Source organism: Homo sapiens, chromosome 14, assembly GCF_000001405.40.
Source record: "Homo sapiens chromosome 14, GRCh38.p14 Primary Assembly".
In the NCBI taxonomy this organism is placed as follows: domain Eukaryota; kingdom Metazoa; phylum Chordata; class Mammalia; order Primates; family Hominidae; genus Homo; species Homo sapiens.
Genome location: NC_000014.9, coordinates 93,029,832 through 93,048,745, shown reverse-complemented (window position 1 = coordinate 93,048,745; position 18,914 = coordinate 93,029,832). Strand labels below are relative to the sequence as shown.

The following is an 18,914-nucleotide window of genomic DNA, read 5'->3' as shown; positions in this document are numbered from 1 at the left end:
AACTCCTGAGCTTAAGCAATCCACCCACCTTGGCCTCCCAAAGTGCTGGGATTACAGGCGTGAGCCACCGCGCCCAGCTGGGAAAGAGTGTTTCTTCTCTTTCAAAGGGTTGGCTATTTCGCCCTGGCCCCTTCTTCCCCGCTTCCAGATATTTTGTGGGAGTATCAGGAGCTTTGGCAGCTGTCTTGTGAGCGTGAGGCGACAGGCACGTGGACAAAGGTCTACCATGGCGAGCATGGCAGAATAGAAACTTGAAAGGAGTATGGGTTCTTGCTGATGTCAACCTGTTGAAACACCCTGGAGACTCCACTCCCTCCTAACGTTCCGTCCTTATGATTAAAGCCATTTTTAGTCACCACTTAAAACCAGACACATCTTCACTCATGATTCTGAGCTTGTTGGAATTGTTTTTTGTTATACGAAAACCAAATGCACCCTTGACGTAAAGACTGGCCATCATTGAAACAAAGCTTTGAAGGCCGAAGGCGCTTGCCAAAGAGAAGGATGCCAGTGCTTTGAGTGTTACTACCATCGATGTCAGAAATGTAGGTGCCCAAAAGGATGACCGTTGGGCACCCTGTTCATTTGGACATGTTATGTCAGAAAACAAATCATACCATGTTCACCATGTTATGAGAAAATGTAAAGCCTCTTCAGGTTGTAAGTAGCAGCTGTCAATATGAAAGAAAAATCTTAAGGAAATGTCAATAAATAGAATTTATTGGCCTGAATGTCTCAGAAGGTCCAGAGATAGGTCTGGCAGGTTTCAGGCCATTAAGAACTCACATGTATTGTCATCAGAAATATTTCTTCACTTTTCATGCTCCTTGTGAAAGTCATTTTGGGTGGGCTTGTGCCAAGTCATGTGAAACTGGTTGCCTGCAGCTTCATCCCCTTGGCTTAACAGCCCTGCAGGAAGCAGATGTCGGGCTGGCTGGTGCTGGCTGGCTCTGGTTGGCCTGGCTTGGGTCACATACATATCATATTTGCCTGCTAGGAATGCCATAACAGGTCACTGCAAACTGCGTGGCTTAGGAGAACAGAAATTCACTCTCAGTTCTGGAGGCTAGGAGTTGGACTCAGGATGTCAGCAGGGCACTGCTCCGTCTGAAGCCCCGAAGGGAGGAGCCTTCCTTGCCTCTGCCAGCTTCTCATAGTCCCAGGCACGCCTTGGCTTGTGGGAGCATCGCTGTAGTCTCTGCCTCCATCCCCACTTGGCCGTCCTGCCTGGGTGTCTGTGTCTTCACCTGGCTTTCTCCTTTTCCTATAAGGACACTAGTCATATTGAATCAGGGCCAACCCTGATGACCTCATCTTAATTTGATTATATCTGCAAAGACCCTGTTTTCAAGTAAGATCATGTTCATAGGTACCAGAGGTTAGGACTTCAGCTTATCTTGTTGGGGGACAAAGTTCAACCCATGACACCTGTCCTTGGGCTGGATGACATGATACTCTAGCTGGCCAGGACTGTATCACTTGCCCACCCCAAAGTGAGTGTGGGTCAACCCCCTGGAGTTACGTGGCTTAAACGTCGGGGAGGAAGGTTCTTCAAGGGAACTAAGTTGAGGGCAGTCCACAGATGGAAACTTGGCAAAGGCAGTGGTGGTAATGGTTCACCAGCAGCCCGGCTTGGCCTGAGGGCCCCAGCTTTCCAGTCCGGAGTGGTCCATTGGTCTGATTCTTCTCTCCCAGTTCGGTCCCCTCTTTCCTGACTTCCATTCTTTAACTCTGCAGGAGGGGGCGCTTAGTTTAGTTGGAGGTGAATGGAGAGGGAAGGGAGACCCAAAGCAGGGAGGCCCTTGTGATTTCCCTACCAGCCGCCTGCTCTGGGCTGGAGCATGGGCCTCAGATAGCCTAGGTGCTGGGCTGCATGTGCGGCCTTGTGGGAGTTCCACCGAGCAGAGCTTCTGATGGGGGTTCGCAGCCTGGGTGGGCTAGCTAGTGACTGAGCTTTGATGGTAATGAACCATCGTTTGCTGCTTTTATTCATTCACTAGTTTTTCATCTGCTGTGGGAGAAGGCTGTGGGAGTGTGCAGTCCGAAAGAAATGGAAAAACACCAGTCTCCTGTTTCTGCCCTGTGCTTTCCAGTTGACCACTCATTTGGAGATGTTTCTGTTTGCTTGTGTTCCCCCCGCCGCCCCCCCCCGCCCCCGGCTGCTGGGCCATCCCTGCTTACCTAGCCTTTTTCTGAAGGTCTTGAAGCCCAGAGCACTTAGGAAAGTCTGAGCACTAAATTGCGTCCTGCCCAATCACCATATCCTGTGTGTATGTCTTATCTCCTTTATGACAGGAACATGGTTCATAGTTGCCTTTATCTGGAGCACATGGGGCCATGTGGGAAAGGAAGCTTGAGCCAGGCCAACCCTGTGCAGACCCTGCTGTCCCCACCGTGGGGCCCCGGGCTAGCGCTGTTTCTCTGAGCCTCAGTTTCTACCTCCTCAGAATAGAAAATGGGAGTAGCACTAATGGTTGAGATTTCTCTCAGCCAAGTGTCTGTGAGTGGGTTTGTGCATGCCTGGGACCTGAGCAATGGCCACAAGAAAGTCCTGTTTGGAACTTGTGGTCAGCCTGGGCGATGAGGTCAAGATGCCCTGAGAGTCAGGAGGGAGGGGTGCGGCTTGACTGCCCCAGACCACACTGGGAGGTTTGCAGAAGAAAAGAGCGTGGGGTGGGGATGGGGTCAAAAAGGACTCTGTGTGTGCCTGGTGAGGGCTTGAGGCCCGGCTCACAGACCACTGGTGGACCCGTCCCGCCAGAGCAGTGACCGCTTGGGAGGCAGTGAGCTGTGAGTGTGGAAAGGAAGTCGGAGGCAACGTGGGTCCTCATTTGGGGGCACTGGGGAGCGATTGAAGGTTTTTAGGTAGTTGCAGAGGACAGTTTCAGGGAAGGTATTCTGGCAGTTCTGGCCCAGGGTGGATTGGGTTGTGTCCAGGCTAGAAACTGGATCCTGAAATTAGTTCTGAAAGAATAAAAAAAAAAGTCTGAATTAGAGAGTATAGCTTAATTTTAATTACTGGTCCTTGTTAATTAGTTCTCTGATTGCATGTAAGCCAAGGTCTCTAATTGGATTTTCTTAGATAGGGTTTCGCTGTGTTGCCCAGGCTGGAGTACAGTGGCTATTTCACAGATGCAATCATAGCGCACTTCAGCCTTGAACTCCTGGGCTCCAGTGATCCTCCTCTCACCTCCTCCTCCTGAGTAGCTGGGACTACAGGCACGTGCCATCTAATTGGTTTTTAAGTGCTGTCAGTACGTTTCAGGGAGACTCTCCACCCACTTTGCGCTAATCTTCCCCCATCCTGGTGATTTGCTGTAGAGTCTTTGTTATGGGGCAGGGGCAGCATAGCCTACTTCCAGCCTCTCAGTCTGCGGCAGTGCTCTTCAGGGTCACCAGGGGAGTTGAATTAAAAGGCCACTCTGACCTGGCCTCTGTGGTTTCCTGGCCGGCTGCATGGACCAGCCCTCAAGCGCTGCGGGAGGCAGAGCTGCTGACTGGCAGGGACAGGGGCCTGAGGTCTTGCCCAGAGGGGTAACTGGCCTCTGCTTATTTGTGAGAGGTGAGGCTTGGAGGTTTGGTTTGATCTTGATGCCCTGTGCCTGCAAGGGCAAGGAACCAGTGCCTGGTGACTTGGAACTAAGGCACAGACTTCCATTTCAGGCTCAAAAGCAGCATGGCACTGGGCTGCAAAGTCAGGGATCTGGTTCTTTAAGGTAGATCTTACAGGAGGGAGACCTTAAATGCCCCTTTCTTCCTGATCTGACAGATCCTAGAGCCCTGGGGCCTGCCCTGGCCAGGAGTCCTGGTGCTAAACCCTGTCAGGTTGGTGGGGAAAGGGCATTTAAGGCCCTTACCCTGTTAAGATATATCCTAAAGAACCACAACCCTGACTTGCGGCCCACGCTAGTCCGTCACGGTGTCGGGTTTTTCTTGCTTCTTCCTCTTCCTCCTTTGCTAGCCTTGGTGCTTGCGGTGGCCCTTCTGGCCAGGCCATAGACAGAGGCCACACCCTTCTTCCCTCTCTGCCGTGTTGCTGTCCGCTGGGCCACTGTCCCACCTCCTCTGAGATCTACAGCCCCACAGGGTTGGGTGATGGTTGTCGCCACATTGGTCAGTTCTGCATCTGGGTCAGTCCCAGGGGCTTGCATGGCTGGCTGTCAGTCCTTTACCTGGGGGGCCCTGTGGCTCATCCGTGGCCCTCGAGTTCCAGAGTTTCCATCTGCTGCCAGGCCGAGTGCAGCATCCTCACCAGCTTCACAGCCAAGCAGAGGGATGCCAGTGTTCGGCCTAGGCTTCGGTTTAATTTTTATGCTAGACTTTCTCAGTAATCGCCAGCACAAACTTATTCATGGTCCCTTCCTTGTGTCTGGATTTCAGCTTTCCTATCTCTGCGGAGGGGGTTGGACCAGATTACACGTGGGTGACTCAGATATACCTGGGCCTGCATGCAATCTGTTTGGCCCACACAGGAATTTTACATTCTTTCCTTTGAATTTGTTGCCAGTGTTTAAGCTGGTTGCCCCTTAGGCCCCACCATTCTCTGTTGTCCCACACCACCAGCCTCATGGTTTACATTTGCCCCATGGGCGCTTCAGTTTGTGACCCTCCATTTGCTCCTAGGACCCCCTCCTCACCTCCCCCCCAACCCCTCCCACCTGAATTCCTCAGTACCCTCTGGCTCTGTCTTCCCAGGGTGATGGGACAGAAGAGGAGGGAGGCTAGAGCCTAGCCATCCACAAGCCGGGTTCCAGAATGGTTGGATTTGAGAAATCTGGTGAAGGGGAAAAGATTTTTCATTTGCCCAGAACTCAGGGTAGTGGACTTGGGGCAGTAAAGGTCTCAGGAACAGAGTTGAAGCCAGAACTGTAGGAAGATGTGTATTGGGGCCTTCAGGTGGGCGGCAGGAGAGGAAGGGTGGGGCTGTGGTCTGGGAAGGGCCTCCTGCAGGATGCCAGCCTGCCACCAATGAGGGGAAGGAGAACGGTGGCCTGGGCATGACGTGCGCTTGGAACAGATTCCTGGTGACACCACCCCCAGCCTTGGGGCTTAAAGATTGTGGTGTAATCCAAGCTTGTTTTAATCAAGCCACAGATAAGAATGAGCCAGGCTGAGGCTGGCTACGGCCTGAGTGCACATTCCTGCCTGGTGCACTTTGTTCTTCATGTAGGTGGGGCTGGGCGGGGCAGGGAGGCTGCCCTGCTGCCTTGGACCCAGGATGGCATTTCCCCTGCTTGACAGGGACACTTGGAATTTCCTGTTGGAAGTAGCCCCAAAGGAAAGAGTGCCTGATGGGTTGAGCCTTGGATGTGTTCGGTGCTTTCTGCAGTGACTCCACAGAGCACTGGGCTTTTGCAGTCTCTACTGTGCTGTCTTCGGCTTTCCCACTGGTATTTCCTGCCCTCAGAAATCCACCTGCCCCACATCTCTTTTCTCCCCTTCTGTCTGTGCACATAAACTGGGGTGGATTTCAATCCGATCTCCTTAGCTGTGTGATCTTGGGCAAGTTATTTTGCTTCTCTGAGCCCCAGCTTCTGGTTCTGTGTGTGCTGTGAAACCACCTGTGGCCCACGTGGCCAATCCTGGGTCAATATTTTTTTAACCAATGACAAGAAGTTTCTAAGGGTTTTCCCCAAAGTGTGGGCCTCGGTGGGGAGCTGGCAGTAGCTGGATGAGAAAGAGTTTGGACTTCAAGTCAATTTGTAGAGTTAAGATTGAAACTTTTTTTTTTGAGACAGTCTCGCTCTGTCACCAGGCTGGGGTGCAGTGGTGCGATCTTGGCTCACTACAACCTCCGCCTCCTGGGTTCAAGCTATTCTCTTGCCTCAGCCTCCCGAGTAGCTGCGATTGCAGGTGCACGCCACCATGCCTGGGTAATTCTTGAGTTTTTAGTAGAGATGGGGTTTCACCATGTTGCTCAGGTTGGTCTTGAACTCCTGACCTCAAGTGATCTGCCCACCTTGGCCTCCCAAAGTGCTGGGATTACAGGTGTGAGCCACCGCAGCCAGCCATGATTGAAACTTTAATTTCCTTCTCCTTGTCCGAGGCCCTTCTCCCTTTCTTTGCCCACCAGTTTCTCCCTCTGAGCGCTGCAGCCACCCCACAAGCCCCAGTGCCCTGTCAGGCCCATCAGGACATGCAGGTGGGGCACTGGCCTGAGTTTTGGATCTTTGCTTCAAAGCCGTGTTAAGTCCAGCTCTGCCTTGTCCCAGTTCCCAGCCCTGTCGCTGTTAGGGGTATCCGATCAGCACCCTCAAAACTAGAGAGATCGCAGCCTCAAACAAATCCTTTTGGCAAATGGCTGCATGTTAGGAGGGTTTTGGTGACCCAAACATGTGCCAGGCATGTTCCAAAACCCCCAGCATCAAGGCCCACTCAGGGATTAGGGTCGAAGCTGCTTGGCTGGGGAGAGAGGGACTGTTTTTGTTCTTAGCCACTTTCTGTTCACATATGGCTATCATTCACTGAATGAACGTTTACTAGAACAGCAGGGTGGCGGAGTAGAGAAAACGTGTTTCCAGTTTGCTGTACCTGTGTCAGAATCTTGGATTTGTTACTGTGAGATTCAGGGCACTTGAGTCATTTGTTCTCTAGAAGGTTAATTTCCTCAACTTATAAAATAACTTGATTTGTACCTCCTGCAGTGGGTGTTGTGAGGACTGGGTGAGAGGAAGTCTGTGAGGACCCAGCATGACACCTGCACATGGCAGCTGTGTGGTAGGCGGTCACTGCTGTTGTCATTTAGTAGGTGGCCCTTAGGATTAGACACCGCGGGGGACACAGGCTGGGTGAGATAGGGTCCTTGCTACCAGGAACATATGGTTAACAGGGGGCTGCAGGATAGATTTGCTGTGTTTTGGGAGTTCCTAGCATCTGAACCCCCTCTGAGTTTACATCTGAGGATTCTCTTCCATATGTATCTTGGAGGCCAGACAGGAAAGGCCAGGAACTCTTGTCACCTGTAGTGCTGGGTGCGAGCACAGGACTGGGGCCTGCCAGCCAGACCCACCCCCTGGTGCTGGGATTCAGGAAGCAGGACAGGGAGCATTCGTCATGGTGGCTCAGTGGCAGAGGCAGGTGCCAGATGGGATGCTGAGCCCTGTGTGCCCGGGTGTGGGCTGGGCAGGGGCCTTGCCTGCCTGCCTGCCTGCCACAGGGCCTACTTTCACTGTGCTTCTCTGGGTGAACAGCCTCCCTGGCAGAGGCCCGGTTTCTGAGCGTGGCTCTCCCAGCTTCCTGTGTTTTCTGACCTGCACAGTGGCCTTTTAGTGAGGTCCCTTGCTGCTCAGGTCAGCCCCAGGAAGGTTCTGGTGCTCACATCCCAGAACCTGCTGGTCTCTGGGCCTCAGAGTAACTCATACTGAGAGGAGGGAAGGATGCCCAGGCAATACTGTGCAGAGACAGGGTTGCCACTTCTGGCCGCAGGGAGGAGTCAGAGAAGACTTCTTGGAGGAGGGGGCATTTGAAAGGTACTTTGTAGGACAGAGGGCCTGGAGGGAGGTTCAGATCCTGGCCGGGCAGTGGAAGCCTGGCCCTTGCCTTATAGCCTCTTTGAAATGTAAATGATGCTAGTGCCTGTGGGATAGGGCCTTTGTGAGGAGTAAATGGTTGAGGACAGCGCCTGGCTAATCACTGATCAAAATAGCCCCCTCCTGACAGGGGATTAGGTTCATGGCTGTCGTATATACGAGACCAACCATCTCCCCCCACACTCTGTATTGATGGGGAGTGGTAGAGTTACACTTCTGCTCTGAGCTCAGTGCATAGACATCCTATCTTGTTGAATGTGCACGACACCTCGAGATGTAGGCAGGATCCTTCCTTTTTTACAGGGGAGAAGACGGGGCCTTGGTGAGGTGAAGTAGTTCCCAGGGCCTTCCATCCAGGTGATGGAGCCAGGACCTTGCTTCTAGTTCTCCTGCCTCCCAAGCTTGGCTGTTTCCTACAGCTGCATACGGCCCCACCCAGAGGGAGGCAGTCACCAGAGAAAGAGAATGGCAGTGACCCAGAGGGGGCACAGAGCTACTTCCTGCTCAGGGAGTGCTGGGCAGCCTCCTGCGGGGGGGAGAGGGGGGCATTGAATGGGCCCTTCAGAGAAGGCTGGGAGCTCACCAGGTCCTGAGGAAGAGGAGGGACTGCGTGCAGGAAGCCTCAAGGCACGAGCCAGCTTAGCATTTGGGGGAACTCCAAGTATTTGGTGTATACAGTGTCTGCAGGGTGCCTGGGCAGGGGTGTTGGGCCAAGCGGTGTGGCAGGGGACCATGTGTGCTCTGGCCAGGGGCCTTGACCTCATTCTGTTGGTGGTGAGGGCCTCTGCAGGTGGGGAGTGGCAAAGTGGACCAAGACCGCCTCTCCTCCACTATCTCCCCTCCCTACCCCTGCTCTGTCCTTATACCCCAGGCCACAGTGAAGGACATTGGGCCGAGGCCCTGCTTTCATAGGAGGAAGCAAAGCTCTGCTTCATGTAGCTGAAGCCCAGGCTCCCCATTGTCCACCCTGACACAGACCCTCTGAGTCCTCAGTTTTCTGGTCTGTAAGTGGCTATGAAGTCTGTCTTGCTTCTCCTCCCAGAGAAATCATGAGCATAAAGAGCCTGCCAGACGTGTGGATATGCGGTTTTAAAGATTAAGGCAGTTTAACCAAAAAGAACAAAACATTGGCTGAATTAATAGAAGTGGCACTGGGCGTTCTTCCCGTCAGCCTGAGTTGGAGGTGGGGTGCCTCCCAGCAGGGGCTGGCAGGAGCACCCGTGTGCGCTCTGACCCCATCCAGAGGGTTTCTGGGTGCCCTGCACAGCGGGACACCCTCTGGAGGAGGCCCTGTGGGGAGGACAGAGGGCCAGTAAGAACACTCAGTGGCCTTGGAGAAGCAAAGGTGTCATTTGTCCCCTCCCAACCACCCTGTACTTCCTGTACTGAAACTGACAGCAAGGGAGACTTTGGCAGGGAGAACTCCCAGTTTAGCTCCTCAAGTGTTTTTGAGGCTGAATACCAGCCTGACAGCTTGCTGGCCTGCTGCAGGGTGTGGGGCTGAGACGGCCTCAGCGACTTATCACAGCGACCCTGTGAGGTGTAGGTGCGTCCTGGTCCCCCATTCAGTGGTCACAGAAGCACAGTGGGGTTTAAGTGACCAGTCAGATCTGCGAGCAGCGGATTCAAGATTCCAGAGTCTGGGGATCTGACACCAAGCACCTTGGGCTGGTAAAGATACAAAGTCTCCAGCAGGCACAGGGTGGAAGAGGAGGTTTCTGTTTTTAATTTTTTTTTGTAGACAAGGGGTCTTGCTGTGTTGCCCAGGCTGATCTTGAACTCCTAGGCTCAAGTGATTCTCCTGCCTTGGCCTCCCAAAGTGCTGAGATTACAGGTGTGAGTCACCATGCCTAGCAAAAAAAGAGGAGGCGTCTTGTTGACATGGATTGAGAGAAGGTTGAGTAGCTGAGAAGGAGAGAGAACAGCCTCTGTAGAACAAGGAGGTGGGGGGTGTTTCTGGGTATGGTGAGCATGGAGCAAATAGGAGAGGGAGCCCAAAGCATGCTGGGGCCAGAGCCTGCCCAAAAGGCCTGTGCCCAGAACTCTGGGCATCGTTTAGTAGGAAAGGGGAAGTCAGTGGTGGGCTCTTGAGTTTGGCAGCACCCCCGTGAGAGCTGGGCGTATGCAGGCGGACGCTGTAGCCATGGCAGCAAGGTCGGCGGTGGTAGCAAAGGGAACTTAACTCCCAACTTGGGACATCTTTTGGGGCTCAGTTCAGAGAAAAACTGAGCAAGAAATAGGTCACAGGTTTTAGGAACGGTATTAGAGTATCTTATTTTCTGGCATGTCCAGGAAATGCCATTTTCCACTGGATGCATTTTTTAGATAGTTGCTTGGCACTTATGTCTTTGTCTTCAGAAGAATGGTTTTCCGGTTTTAAACACATATCTGGCTGGGTGCGGTGGCTCACGCCTGTAATCCCAGCACTTTGGGAGGCCGAAACGGGTGGATCACTTGAGGTCAGGAGTTCCAGACCAGCCTGGCCAACATGGTGAAACCCATCTCTACTAAAAATACAAAAATTAGCCGGGTGTGGTGGCACATGCCTGTAATCCCAGCTACATGGGAGGCTGAGGCAGGAGAATCGCTTGAACCCAGGAGGTGGAGGTTGCAGTGAGCCGAGATTGCACCATTGCACTCCAGCCTGGGCGACAAAGTGAGACTCTGTCTCAAAAAACAAACAAACAAACAAAAACCCACATATATCCCACTTTTCTTTCCCTTCCAAAAGAGAGTATATGGATATAATTTAATCATTTTTCCTGTGTTATGTATAATTGTACAATTAGAAACAACCAAACATTAAAAGGTAGGGAATTGATTAAATAAATTATGCTTGATTTACCTTTTAATGATAATGCTTTAGAAGAATATGCAATGTTGGCTGGACGTGGTGGCTCACACCTATAATCCCAGTACTTTGGGAGGCTGAGGTGGGCAGATCACGTGAGGTCAGGAGTTTGAGACCAGCCTGGCTGACACGGCAAAACCACGTCTCTACAAAAAATACAAAAGTTAGCTGGGTGTGATTGCTCACACCTGTAGTCCCAGCTACTTGGGAGGCTGAACCTGGGAGGCAGAGGTTGCAGTGAGCTGAGACTGTGCCATTGCACTCTAGCCTGGGCAACAGAGCAAGGCTCCATCTCAAAAAAAAAAAAAGAATATGTCATGTCACAGGAATATATTCCTTATAGTTTGTTAATTAAAAAGTAGGATCCAGATGTTTGTGTAGTATAATTTCAGTTTTAGCAAAGATAAATATTAAAAACTTGGAGGAGTACGTTATGTAATACAAATGTTACAGGCTATCTCTGAGATTAAGTTAAAATTTTTCGATCCCTGAGTAAATAACTGGAGATATAAACATCTCTTACAATGGACATTAATTTGATCAGAGAAAAAAGACAGTTTTTTTGAAAAGCTGTATTACTTTATAGACACAGCTGGTATCTTTATTCTGCCTGAGTCTCACCATCTCCACTGCAGGAGGCAGCTGGGTCATGTTAAGGGTTCCTAGAGCCCCAGGTGGCACTCTTCTGTCTTCCTTGTCTTTAACATCCGGACCACACCTTGTCAGGAAGCTGAGTTTGAATCTCAGCCCCGGGCTCGCCAGTAGGAGTTCTTGAGTCCTGGGCCTGGCCTTGGACTCCCGTTGTGAAGTGGGAGCCAGCCTTGCAGGTGGCTGCTCAGGTGAGCATGTAAGGTGCATCTAGGTGGCTGGGGCCTGGGGCTACATCCTGAAGCTTACCTGCGCCTTCAGCCAGTGGCTGCTGTTTATTCCAGCAGTGAAACCCAACCGTCACATTCCTTGAAATACCTTTAATAACTCTTACCAAATTTTGAATTTTCAGTGAGTTTGACCTTGACCATCTGTTTGAAAGAAAGGCAGACACACACCCACACACACCCATGGTGAAATGCAGGCAGGATCTGACGTCCTAGGCTGAGAAATGCTGGTCTCCTCTTTTCCTATCAACACTGCCCTGTTGACCATGCAAGGGGCATGGAGATGCCATTGTCCCGGGGTCAGAGGGTTGGCAGGGAGAATTGCTGTGGTTCCGGGGCTTCCTGTGTAGGCCCCAGGGATTGGGACTGGCCTGGCTCAGAGCAGGAGCCACCCAGGGAGCAGGGGAACAGCCTTCCAGGGCCTCCCTGGTCCAGCTGCCTGGGCCTGCAGGCTCTTCTGAGGACAGAGCCCTGATAAGTGAGGGTCAGTGCCCAAGAAAAAAGGAGCATTGTTAGGGGGTGGGGGCCGGGGGAACAGCCAGGGCATTGTCGCCGAGCCGGGAGGCTCTGTGTGTTCCGTGGCTTTCCCAGCTCTCTGACAGTCACAAGCACTGAGGTTTGGGGCTTCCACCCCTTGACAGCAGGTAGGTCCCTTTTTGGCAGCTGTCAGCATCTCTCAGCCCTTCTCTGCTCTGCTCTGGGGGGATTTTTCTTGGCATTTCCAAGTTCTGGGGGCTGCATCCTCCCCTGCGGTATTGAGATGAGTGGGAGAGAATGCGGTGCGGGTTGTTGGTAACGATCCCAGAGCCCAGAGAATAGGGGCAGTGTTCCTGGGGGAGAGCCCTCACCCGGCCCCTGGGGTGCTGAGCCTGGTGAGTCATGAGGGGTGTGGGCCACAGAACGCCGGGGAGAGTGGCTGGGGGTTAGGGGGTGTGGAGAGGCTGCCACCAGCAAACAGCAAGAGCCGTGGGGGTCAAATGGGGCACGTGCTCCCACCAGCCTCTCGGAGGAGGTCACGTGTTTGTCATTGTTGGCTGTGTCTGACGTGCGGGAAAGCAGCCGTGAATACTGAGGAGCCTGTCACATTTGTTCTCTCAGCATCTTTGGTTTATCTTAAACCTCAGTGAGATGTTTGCAGTTCTTCTCACGCTGTCACAGAGCATGACCTTGTGGCCTCAACCGGATGCCCTTTAGACATTGCAGTCCACTGCACCATGTGGACCTCCTGGGGCAGGGCTGGTTGCTATAGGAGCGGCCCTTCCCAGTAGGACGGGGACAGTGTCCCTCCGGTTGTGGCCTCTGCTCCCCGCAGCTCTTGAAGTTACCGACCTTGGGCTCCTGGGACCTTGGGCTCCTGGGGAGGGGCAGGTCTCACTGACGCCACCATTGCTTTCGTAGCCCTTTCTTGGAAAGGGTGGCCTTGGGCTTGGCGAGTGCTCCTCCCACCTGTTTCCAAACTCTGAGGATGCTCCTCAGGAATTAGAACAATTCAAATTAGTCATCACGTGCCGGAGTCAGGCTGGGAAGAGGCAGCCACTTGGCACCACATACATCCACCTGGGCCTGCCACCCTTAGCCCAGGCCTTGGACCTCTCTGGTCTCCTGGCTAGGCCCTGGGCCCAGCTGGTTTCTGGTGGGAGGTGACAGGCCCAGTAACTGAAGCAGGAGGCTCTGGTCCAGACCGACCTGGGTGGGTTGAAACCTGCCTCTGCCACCTCCTGGTACCCAGGAGGGTGAGGCAGCTGTTCACGGTGCTGTCGGGCACCAGGCCCTGGACAGCCATGGTTGTTCCCATTCTGGGCCTCATGCAGTGCCTGGTAGACCACTGCCTCCCACTCACCAGTGTCACAGCAGCCAGACAGGTTTCTGCGGCCTGAGCCCCCTCCCTCCCTCCCTCCCGTCCTGTTTCCTAGGCAGCATGGCCTCTTTGGCCATTTGTTGACCTCCCATTCCCCTTGGCTTCTCAGTGCAGAATTTCCATAGCACATCAGTCTGCACTGGTGATTTGGGGCTCTCTGGTGTACATGTGCAGATATACACACCCATGGGAGATGAGGGAGGCATTCCACTGTCCTTCAAGGCTCAGCTTACCTGCCATCTCCTTTGAGTCGGCTTTTGACTGCCCAGCGTGAATACCTGTGCCTGCCTTTGTGTGCTCACTGCACTCTTTTGGGTCATTCTGGAAGAGCCTCCATTTTATTTTGCCTCACTGGCCCAACTGCCAACCATGTCTGCCCTTGAGGCCATCCCTGCTGCCCTGGTGCAGCATGAAGTCCACAGCGAGTGCCTGGTCTCTATTTGTTGAATGAATGTCTGCAACGTAATGTGACCAAGGTCCCACAGATCAGCATCCTAGTGAGCTGAGAGCTCAGGTGAGCTCATCTGTGTGTTTCAGAGGGGGTGGTGGGCAGAGGACAGCAGGCTGTTGTCCTGAAGCCCCTAGAACCTAGCGGAGAAGAGGCAGGACCCAAAAGAAGGAGGTGTGTTCACCCTGTAGGACTTGCTTTGTAGGTGCAGGTGCCCAGAGGCCAGGCCCGTCAGTGCTACCTGGGGTGGGGCTGGAGAAGGGAAGGCCTGCCAGGCCCCATAGGTGATGGGAGGGCCAGGACCTCAGGTTGGAGGGAACCACTGAATCCTCGGCCCTGTGGTGCAGGCCCACACAGGGCATAGCCCCTGGGCACTGGCACTGCCCACTGCCCACTGCCCGTGTGTGCTGGGGCCATGCCAGCCTTCTCCGCTGCTAAACTGGCTTCTTCACCCTCCCTCAGTGGGCACAGCTGCCGCTTCCATCTCAGTGTCTGCTTCTCCCTTGCTTGGTGGGTCATTATGTGCCCACTTAGCCATAGGCTTTCACTGAGTCCCCACCTTCATGCAGGATGTGGGAGGTCCCAGGGGCCCCCAGGCAGCTCAGGCTGGCCTGCCCTCTAGTGGGGAGCAGAGCAGACAGATCTCCCAGCCCAGTGGGGGCCAGCTGTGGTGGAGCCCGCCTCCCCATTCTATTCTTGGAGAGGAAAAGCACAGAAATACAGGAGTGAAGGCACAGACTGGGCAGAGGGGCCGGAGTCGCCCTCTGAGGAGGCCTGTAGGGCCCCCAGAAGAGTTTTCTGGGTCAGAATCAAGAGACTCAGGAGCCTTTTTGCATTTTGTGAGCCCAGTCACTTTGCCTCTGGTCAGGGTAGGTTTTCCAGAGCATCTTCCTGCTCCGACAGGGGGTGGGGGAGTGTTGGGGGTGGGTGGTTTGCCATGGGAACCCCCGGCTGCTGCAGGTGCTGTGTGGCTGAAGCCACCTCCCAGTTCAGTGTGCTGGGGGCAGGATGTGGGGGAGGGCACCTGGGAGGAAGGTGTCGGGGCAGGGCTTACCAGGGACCCATGGGGAAGTATTAGACGGCTTTTGGGGCTACACTTTGGATAGGGAGCTGGGGGCTCCCAGCATCAGAGCCCACTCTTTCTCCCCCATTCCTGAGTTTGGAAAAAGGCTGCCAGCTGGTGCCTCACCCCTGCCCCTCACCAGAAGAGGTCCTGTGCTTGCCCCCTGCCCCATCCTCAGTCCCCAGTCCCACAGCTGCTGTGCAGTCCTGCTTCTCTTTCTGTCTCCTCCCCTGCATCATTCCTGCCCTAGCTCTAGACCTCTCCACCTAGCTACCCCTGTGCTGCCCGAGAGCCCTCCTGTGCCCCACCACACACCCACATGCACAGGCACGCACATTCACACACTCCGTTCTCTTCCAGGAGAAACCCTCCCTGGTTCCTGAGGCCCTGGGGACCAGTGGGTGTGTGTCTGTCTCTCTCTAGCGCCTCTTTCTCCTCTCTGCCTTTCCTTAGACACGTACCTCTTACCTCCTGTCTGGCCTGGCTTCCTCCATGAAGTGCTGTTTGGTTTTCTCAGCAGGAGCCTCCCAGCCCCAAGGCTCCCACTGTTCCTCTACCAGTCCTGTCCTGGGGCCCTCACTCCTGGGTGGTCACTGTTGACTGATTACTCATCAGTGGTCCCTCTCTAGACCCTGGTTCTGATGTCTGTGCTCAGCAGGGCTGGCCCAGAGGAGGTGGTGGGGAATGTTGGGGGGCATTGGCTGTTGTGGGGCTTTGAGGAAGCCTCCTTCCTTCTCTGGTTAGGAAGTTATTGCAGCAGATCCAGCTTTTCTTATTCTCCTTTTCACAAGGCTCACAGGTCACATGGCTGCTGCCTCAGAGTCCCTGAGGCACTGCTGTGCCAATGCACAGTTGGTTTATCTTAACATCACCCACCCCAGGAAACCTCCCTTGACCCTGTCCCTAGGCCTGGCTGAGATGACCTTCGGTCCTACTCTCACCTGTAGGATTGCAGGAATAACAAATGACACTTAATCACAGGCCTCTGAGCAAAAACTGGGACCCAACAAATTTGAGTGTGCTGATTTCATTTGTAGACCCTGGGAAAACCGATGCTTATACCTTTCCCAAGCCCTGGCAGGGCATTGGCACAGATCTGCTTTCACCCTGAGTCTCTCTAGGTGTCTCTGTGTCCATGCCTTCTCAGCAGCTCACAACTGCTGCCCAGGGAGATGAAGCCCACCAGCTCCTTTGCTAAAGGGCTCACCCCCTAGAGAAAAGGGCTGGCTTTGCAGGGTGCACGATCCGATCCGTGCTGGCCTTTGTCACCCGATTCCCTGAGCAGCTGCTCAGAGCTGTGGAGTACGCTGCAGTCTGCAGAGTGCGATGGCCCCTTCGTGAGTCCCAGCAACTCACCAGGGTCACAGCCAGAGCTGGGTGGACATGTGCCTTCTAGATGAGGCTAATCGGAAGATATTCAAGGGCATCAAGCTGCCCCGCCCAGCATGGTGTGTATGTGGTCCCTGGGGGACTTCCTCCCATTGAGGGTGGGGCAGGTCAGATGTGGGTCAGTAAATTTCTGTGACCTGGCAGCATTCTCTGGAATTCTCCCAAGTGAGTATGCAAGGGTTTCAGTGTCAGCTTCTTCCTCTCTGCAAATCTCTGTGCAAGTGAACATATTAAAGTATCTGAGAAGTCCTGCAGGAAAGCTTCTGCTGCTGCTTAGCTTGACGCAACCGAGTCTTTGCAAATGATTTTGAGTACTGAACTTCCCCTTTTCATGTGATGTTTAAAAGGTTGTTAATGCTTTATTATTATTATTATTATTATTTGAGATGGAGTCTCGCTCTGTCGCCCAGCCTGGAGTGCAGTGGCGTAATCTCGGCTCACTGCAACCTCCGCCTCCTGGGTTCAAGTGATTCTCCTGCCTCAGCCTTCCGAGTAGCTGGGATTGCAGGCATGCACCACCATGCCCAGCTAATTTTTGCACTTTTAGTAGAGATGGGGTTTCACTGTGTTGCCCAGGCTGGTTGCAAACTCCTGACCCCAAGTGATCCGCCCGCCCCAGCCTCCTAAAGTGCTGGGATGACAGGCGTGAGCCACTGCACCCGGCTGCTTTGTTACTATTATATCAAATACCAGTTTGGAAAACTGCCTCAAGGAATGCTCTCTTCGGATTGGAAAGCAATGAATATAGAAAGAGTACAGCTTCAGGGCTTAAATAATAATCTATGCAGGCTTTGTAGGAGTTTGAGTCAGAGTTTCCCTCCTTATTGTTAAAAAGGATGCATAGAAAATTTTTTTGACTTGGAGAATTCTTTGCCACTTGTGGCCGGGGCTGCCAGTTGCCATTCTAGGGGGAACATGGAGATAAAGCAAACATTGAAATATGTTTTTTATTGTCAGCAAAAATAAACATCCCAGGCCGGAAGCCAGGGTGTGGAAGGGAGGAGTCTGGGGACATGAAGTCGGAATCCCACTTGGGGATGGGCACTTATTCTCTTACCACCACCTCTTGGAGCCAGACCAGGAGGCCTTAGGGGGGTCTATGGCCCTCATTAAAGCCCAGGCCCCCAGCTTCCAGACAAGGGAAATGATGGCTCGAGGTCCCACAGCAAGTCAGTGCCAGGCTCCTGACCCCTGGCCCGCTGCTGTCTTCGAAGCATCATGGTTTCTGAAAATCTTACCTAAGTCCCTTGTTCCATGAGGCCATAAAAATGGCAACTGCCATGTATGAAGCGCTTACAGCCTGTACCAGGCAAGGTGCTGACACCTCACCTGTGTTAACTTCCACAGCGGTCTCTCCAAAGGGACTGAGGCATCTAACTCCCTCACTCATGGCCTTTTGCCAGCTTCCCCCACTCTGAGGACACTGACTCCAATCGTGCCCCCACCTCTTTGTCCCCCGTCCCCTGCACCCACGCTGGCCTCCTCTGCTCGGGACCCCTGCACTTGCCTTCTTCTTAGTTCAGAACATTCTTCCCCAGGTCTCTCCTGGGCCTTCTTCTTGCCCAGGCCTTCCTTAGAGAGGCCTTGGATTCATTTGCCAGTGCTGCTGTCACAAAGGGCCACAAACTGGGCAGCTTAAATAGCAGAAATGCACCCCTCCCAGTTCCGGAGGTGAGAAGTCTGAGATCCCAAGTGGGGCTCCTTCCGAGGCAGCGGGGCCTGTTCCAGCCATCTCTCCCTGCTGGGGGTGGATTGCCAGCCATCTTTGGCGTTCCCGGGAATGTAGAAGTACCGCCCTCATCTCTGCCTTCATCTCCTCACGATGTTCCTCCTTTGTGCGGGTCTGTGTCTAAATTTCCCCTTTTTATAGGAGCACCAGTCATCGTGGACTAGGGACCTACCTGCTCTGGAATGACCTCATCTTAACAAAGGTCATCTGCAAAGACCCCATTTCCTAACCAGGTCACGTTCTGAGGTACTAGGGGTTAGGACTTCAACATACCGTTTTTTGGGGACACAGTTTAGCCTGTACCAGGCCTTCTCTGACGAGTGCCCCCCTTTCCTATCATGCCCTCTGCACTTCATTGATGTTGCAGCCCTCGGTGGTGCCTCCAGTCGCTTCCTTTGCTTGTTTGTTGTCTGTCTCCCACACTAGGCTGTGAGTATGAGCACTGAGGACAGGGACCTGGCGGTCATCTTCACGTTGCATCTTCAGAGCTTGAGCAATGCTAGGCACAAACTTACTCTGTTCACTTAATTACTCAATGAATGAGTGCATGAATGAATGAATGAATGAATGAAAGAAAGAAAAGAAAACAAGTCCTGTTGTCTTTCCCATGCATCACTCACACAAACTGAGGCTTTGAGAAAACCAGAGGAGAGTAAAGAACAGGCTTTTGTGTGTGATTCATGAAGCAGTAACGGTTTCTCTTTTATTTACATTTTGGATAAAGGGCAGAAGCAAGAAGGGTGGCTGTGACTGCATTCTTGATGTTTTCAGCATTTGTCAAGTGGGACGTGTCACCTCATTTTATTTTTGCACATTCCCCAGTCAGCTCTACTGAGTGTAAATGCGGGGTGCCGCTCTCACACCCTCAGTTCCCATGTTGGCAGTTGGAAGGGAGTGCAGCCTGCATTGCGCGCTAACTTCGTGCTTGCCATCTGGGAGGGAAGTTGGGATCCAGGTGGTGCAGTCCTGGATCTGAAATCCTCTGTGGGAAGTGCAGAGAGACAGGGTAGCTGGGTTTCTGGAAGGGGGTAGCAGCCTTTGAATTCATCTGGCTGAGAGCTCAGATAGAAATCCATCCCTCGCCACAGCTTTGGGACAGTCAGATGTGGTGCACCGAAGACAATCTGCTGGGGACTGTCAGTGGCTTCCTTTGTTACCCTTGCCTTGTCCAC

At 53.2% G+C, this 18,914-nt stretch overlaps 1 protein-coding gene across 6 annotated transcripts in view, besides 3 other annotated features; it reads left to right on the top strand.

Moving 5' to 3' along the window:
* ITPK1 (inositol-tetrakisphosphate 1-kinase) overlaps window positions 1-18,914 on the top strand; it is a 179,012-nt gene that overhangs the window by 67,180 nt on the left and 92,918 nt on the right. The window contains exon 1 of one of the 6 annotated variants that reach the window (NM_001363707.2): window positions 11,772-11,899. The exons of 4 other annotated variants lie outside the window; for them this stretch is intronic. The gene's annotated coding sequence lies outside the window, so the exon portion shown is untranslated. Of the gene's footprint in view, window positions 1-11,771; window positions 11,900-14,305; window positions 14,431-18,914 lie in introns of those variants that run through there. One more of the 6 variants, XM_017021262.2, reaches the window with a different exon arrangement.
* Window positions 2,723-3,282: an enhancer, noted in NCBI's record as "NANOG-H3K27ac-H3K4me1 hESC enhancer chr14:93511809-93512368 (GRCh37/hg19 assembly coordinates)". NCBI's record gives its function as "activates a minimal SCP1, AML or CMV promoter by ChIP-STARR-seq in naive H9 embryonic stem cells {active_cell/tissue: H9 hESC(naive)}" and the evidence as "EXISTENCE:reporter gene assay evidence [ECO:0000049][PMID:30033119]".
* Window positions 7,507-8,436: an enhancer, noted in NCBI's record as "NANOG-H3K27ac-H3K4me1 hESC enhancer chr14:93506655-93507584 (GRCh37/hg19 assembly coordinates)". NCBI's record gives its function as "activates a minimal SCP1, AML or CMV promoter by ChIP-STARR-seq in naive H9 embryonic stem cells {active_cell/tissue: H9 hESC(naive)}" and the evidence as "EXISTENCE:reporter gene assay evidence [ECO:0000049][PMID:30033119]".
* Window positions 13,636-14,331: an enhancer, noted in NCBI's record as "H3K27ac-H3K4me1 hESC enhancer chr14:93500760-93501455 (GRCh37/hg19 assembly coordinates)". NCBI's record gives its function as "activates a minimal SCP1, AML or CMV promoter by ChIP-STARR-seq in naive H9 embryonic stem cells {active_cell/tissue: H9 hESC(naive)}" and the evidence as "EXISTENCE:reporter gene assay evidence [ECO:0000049][PMID:30033119]".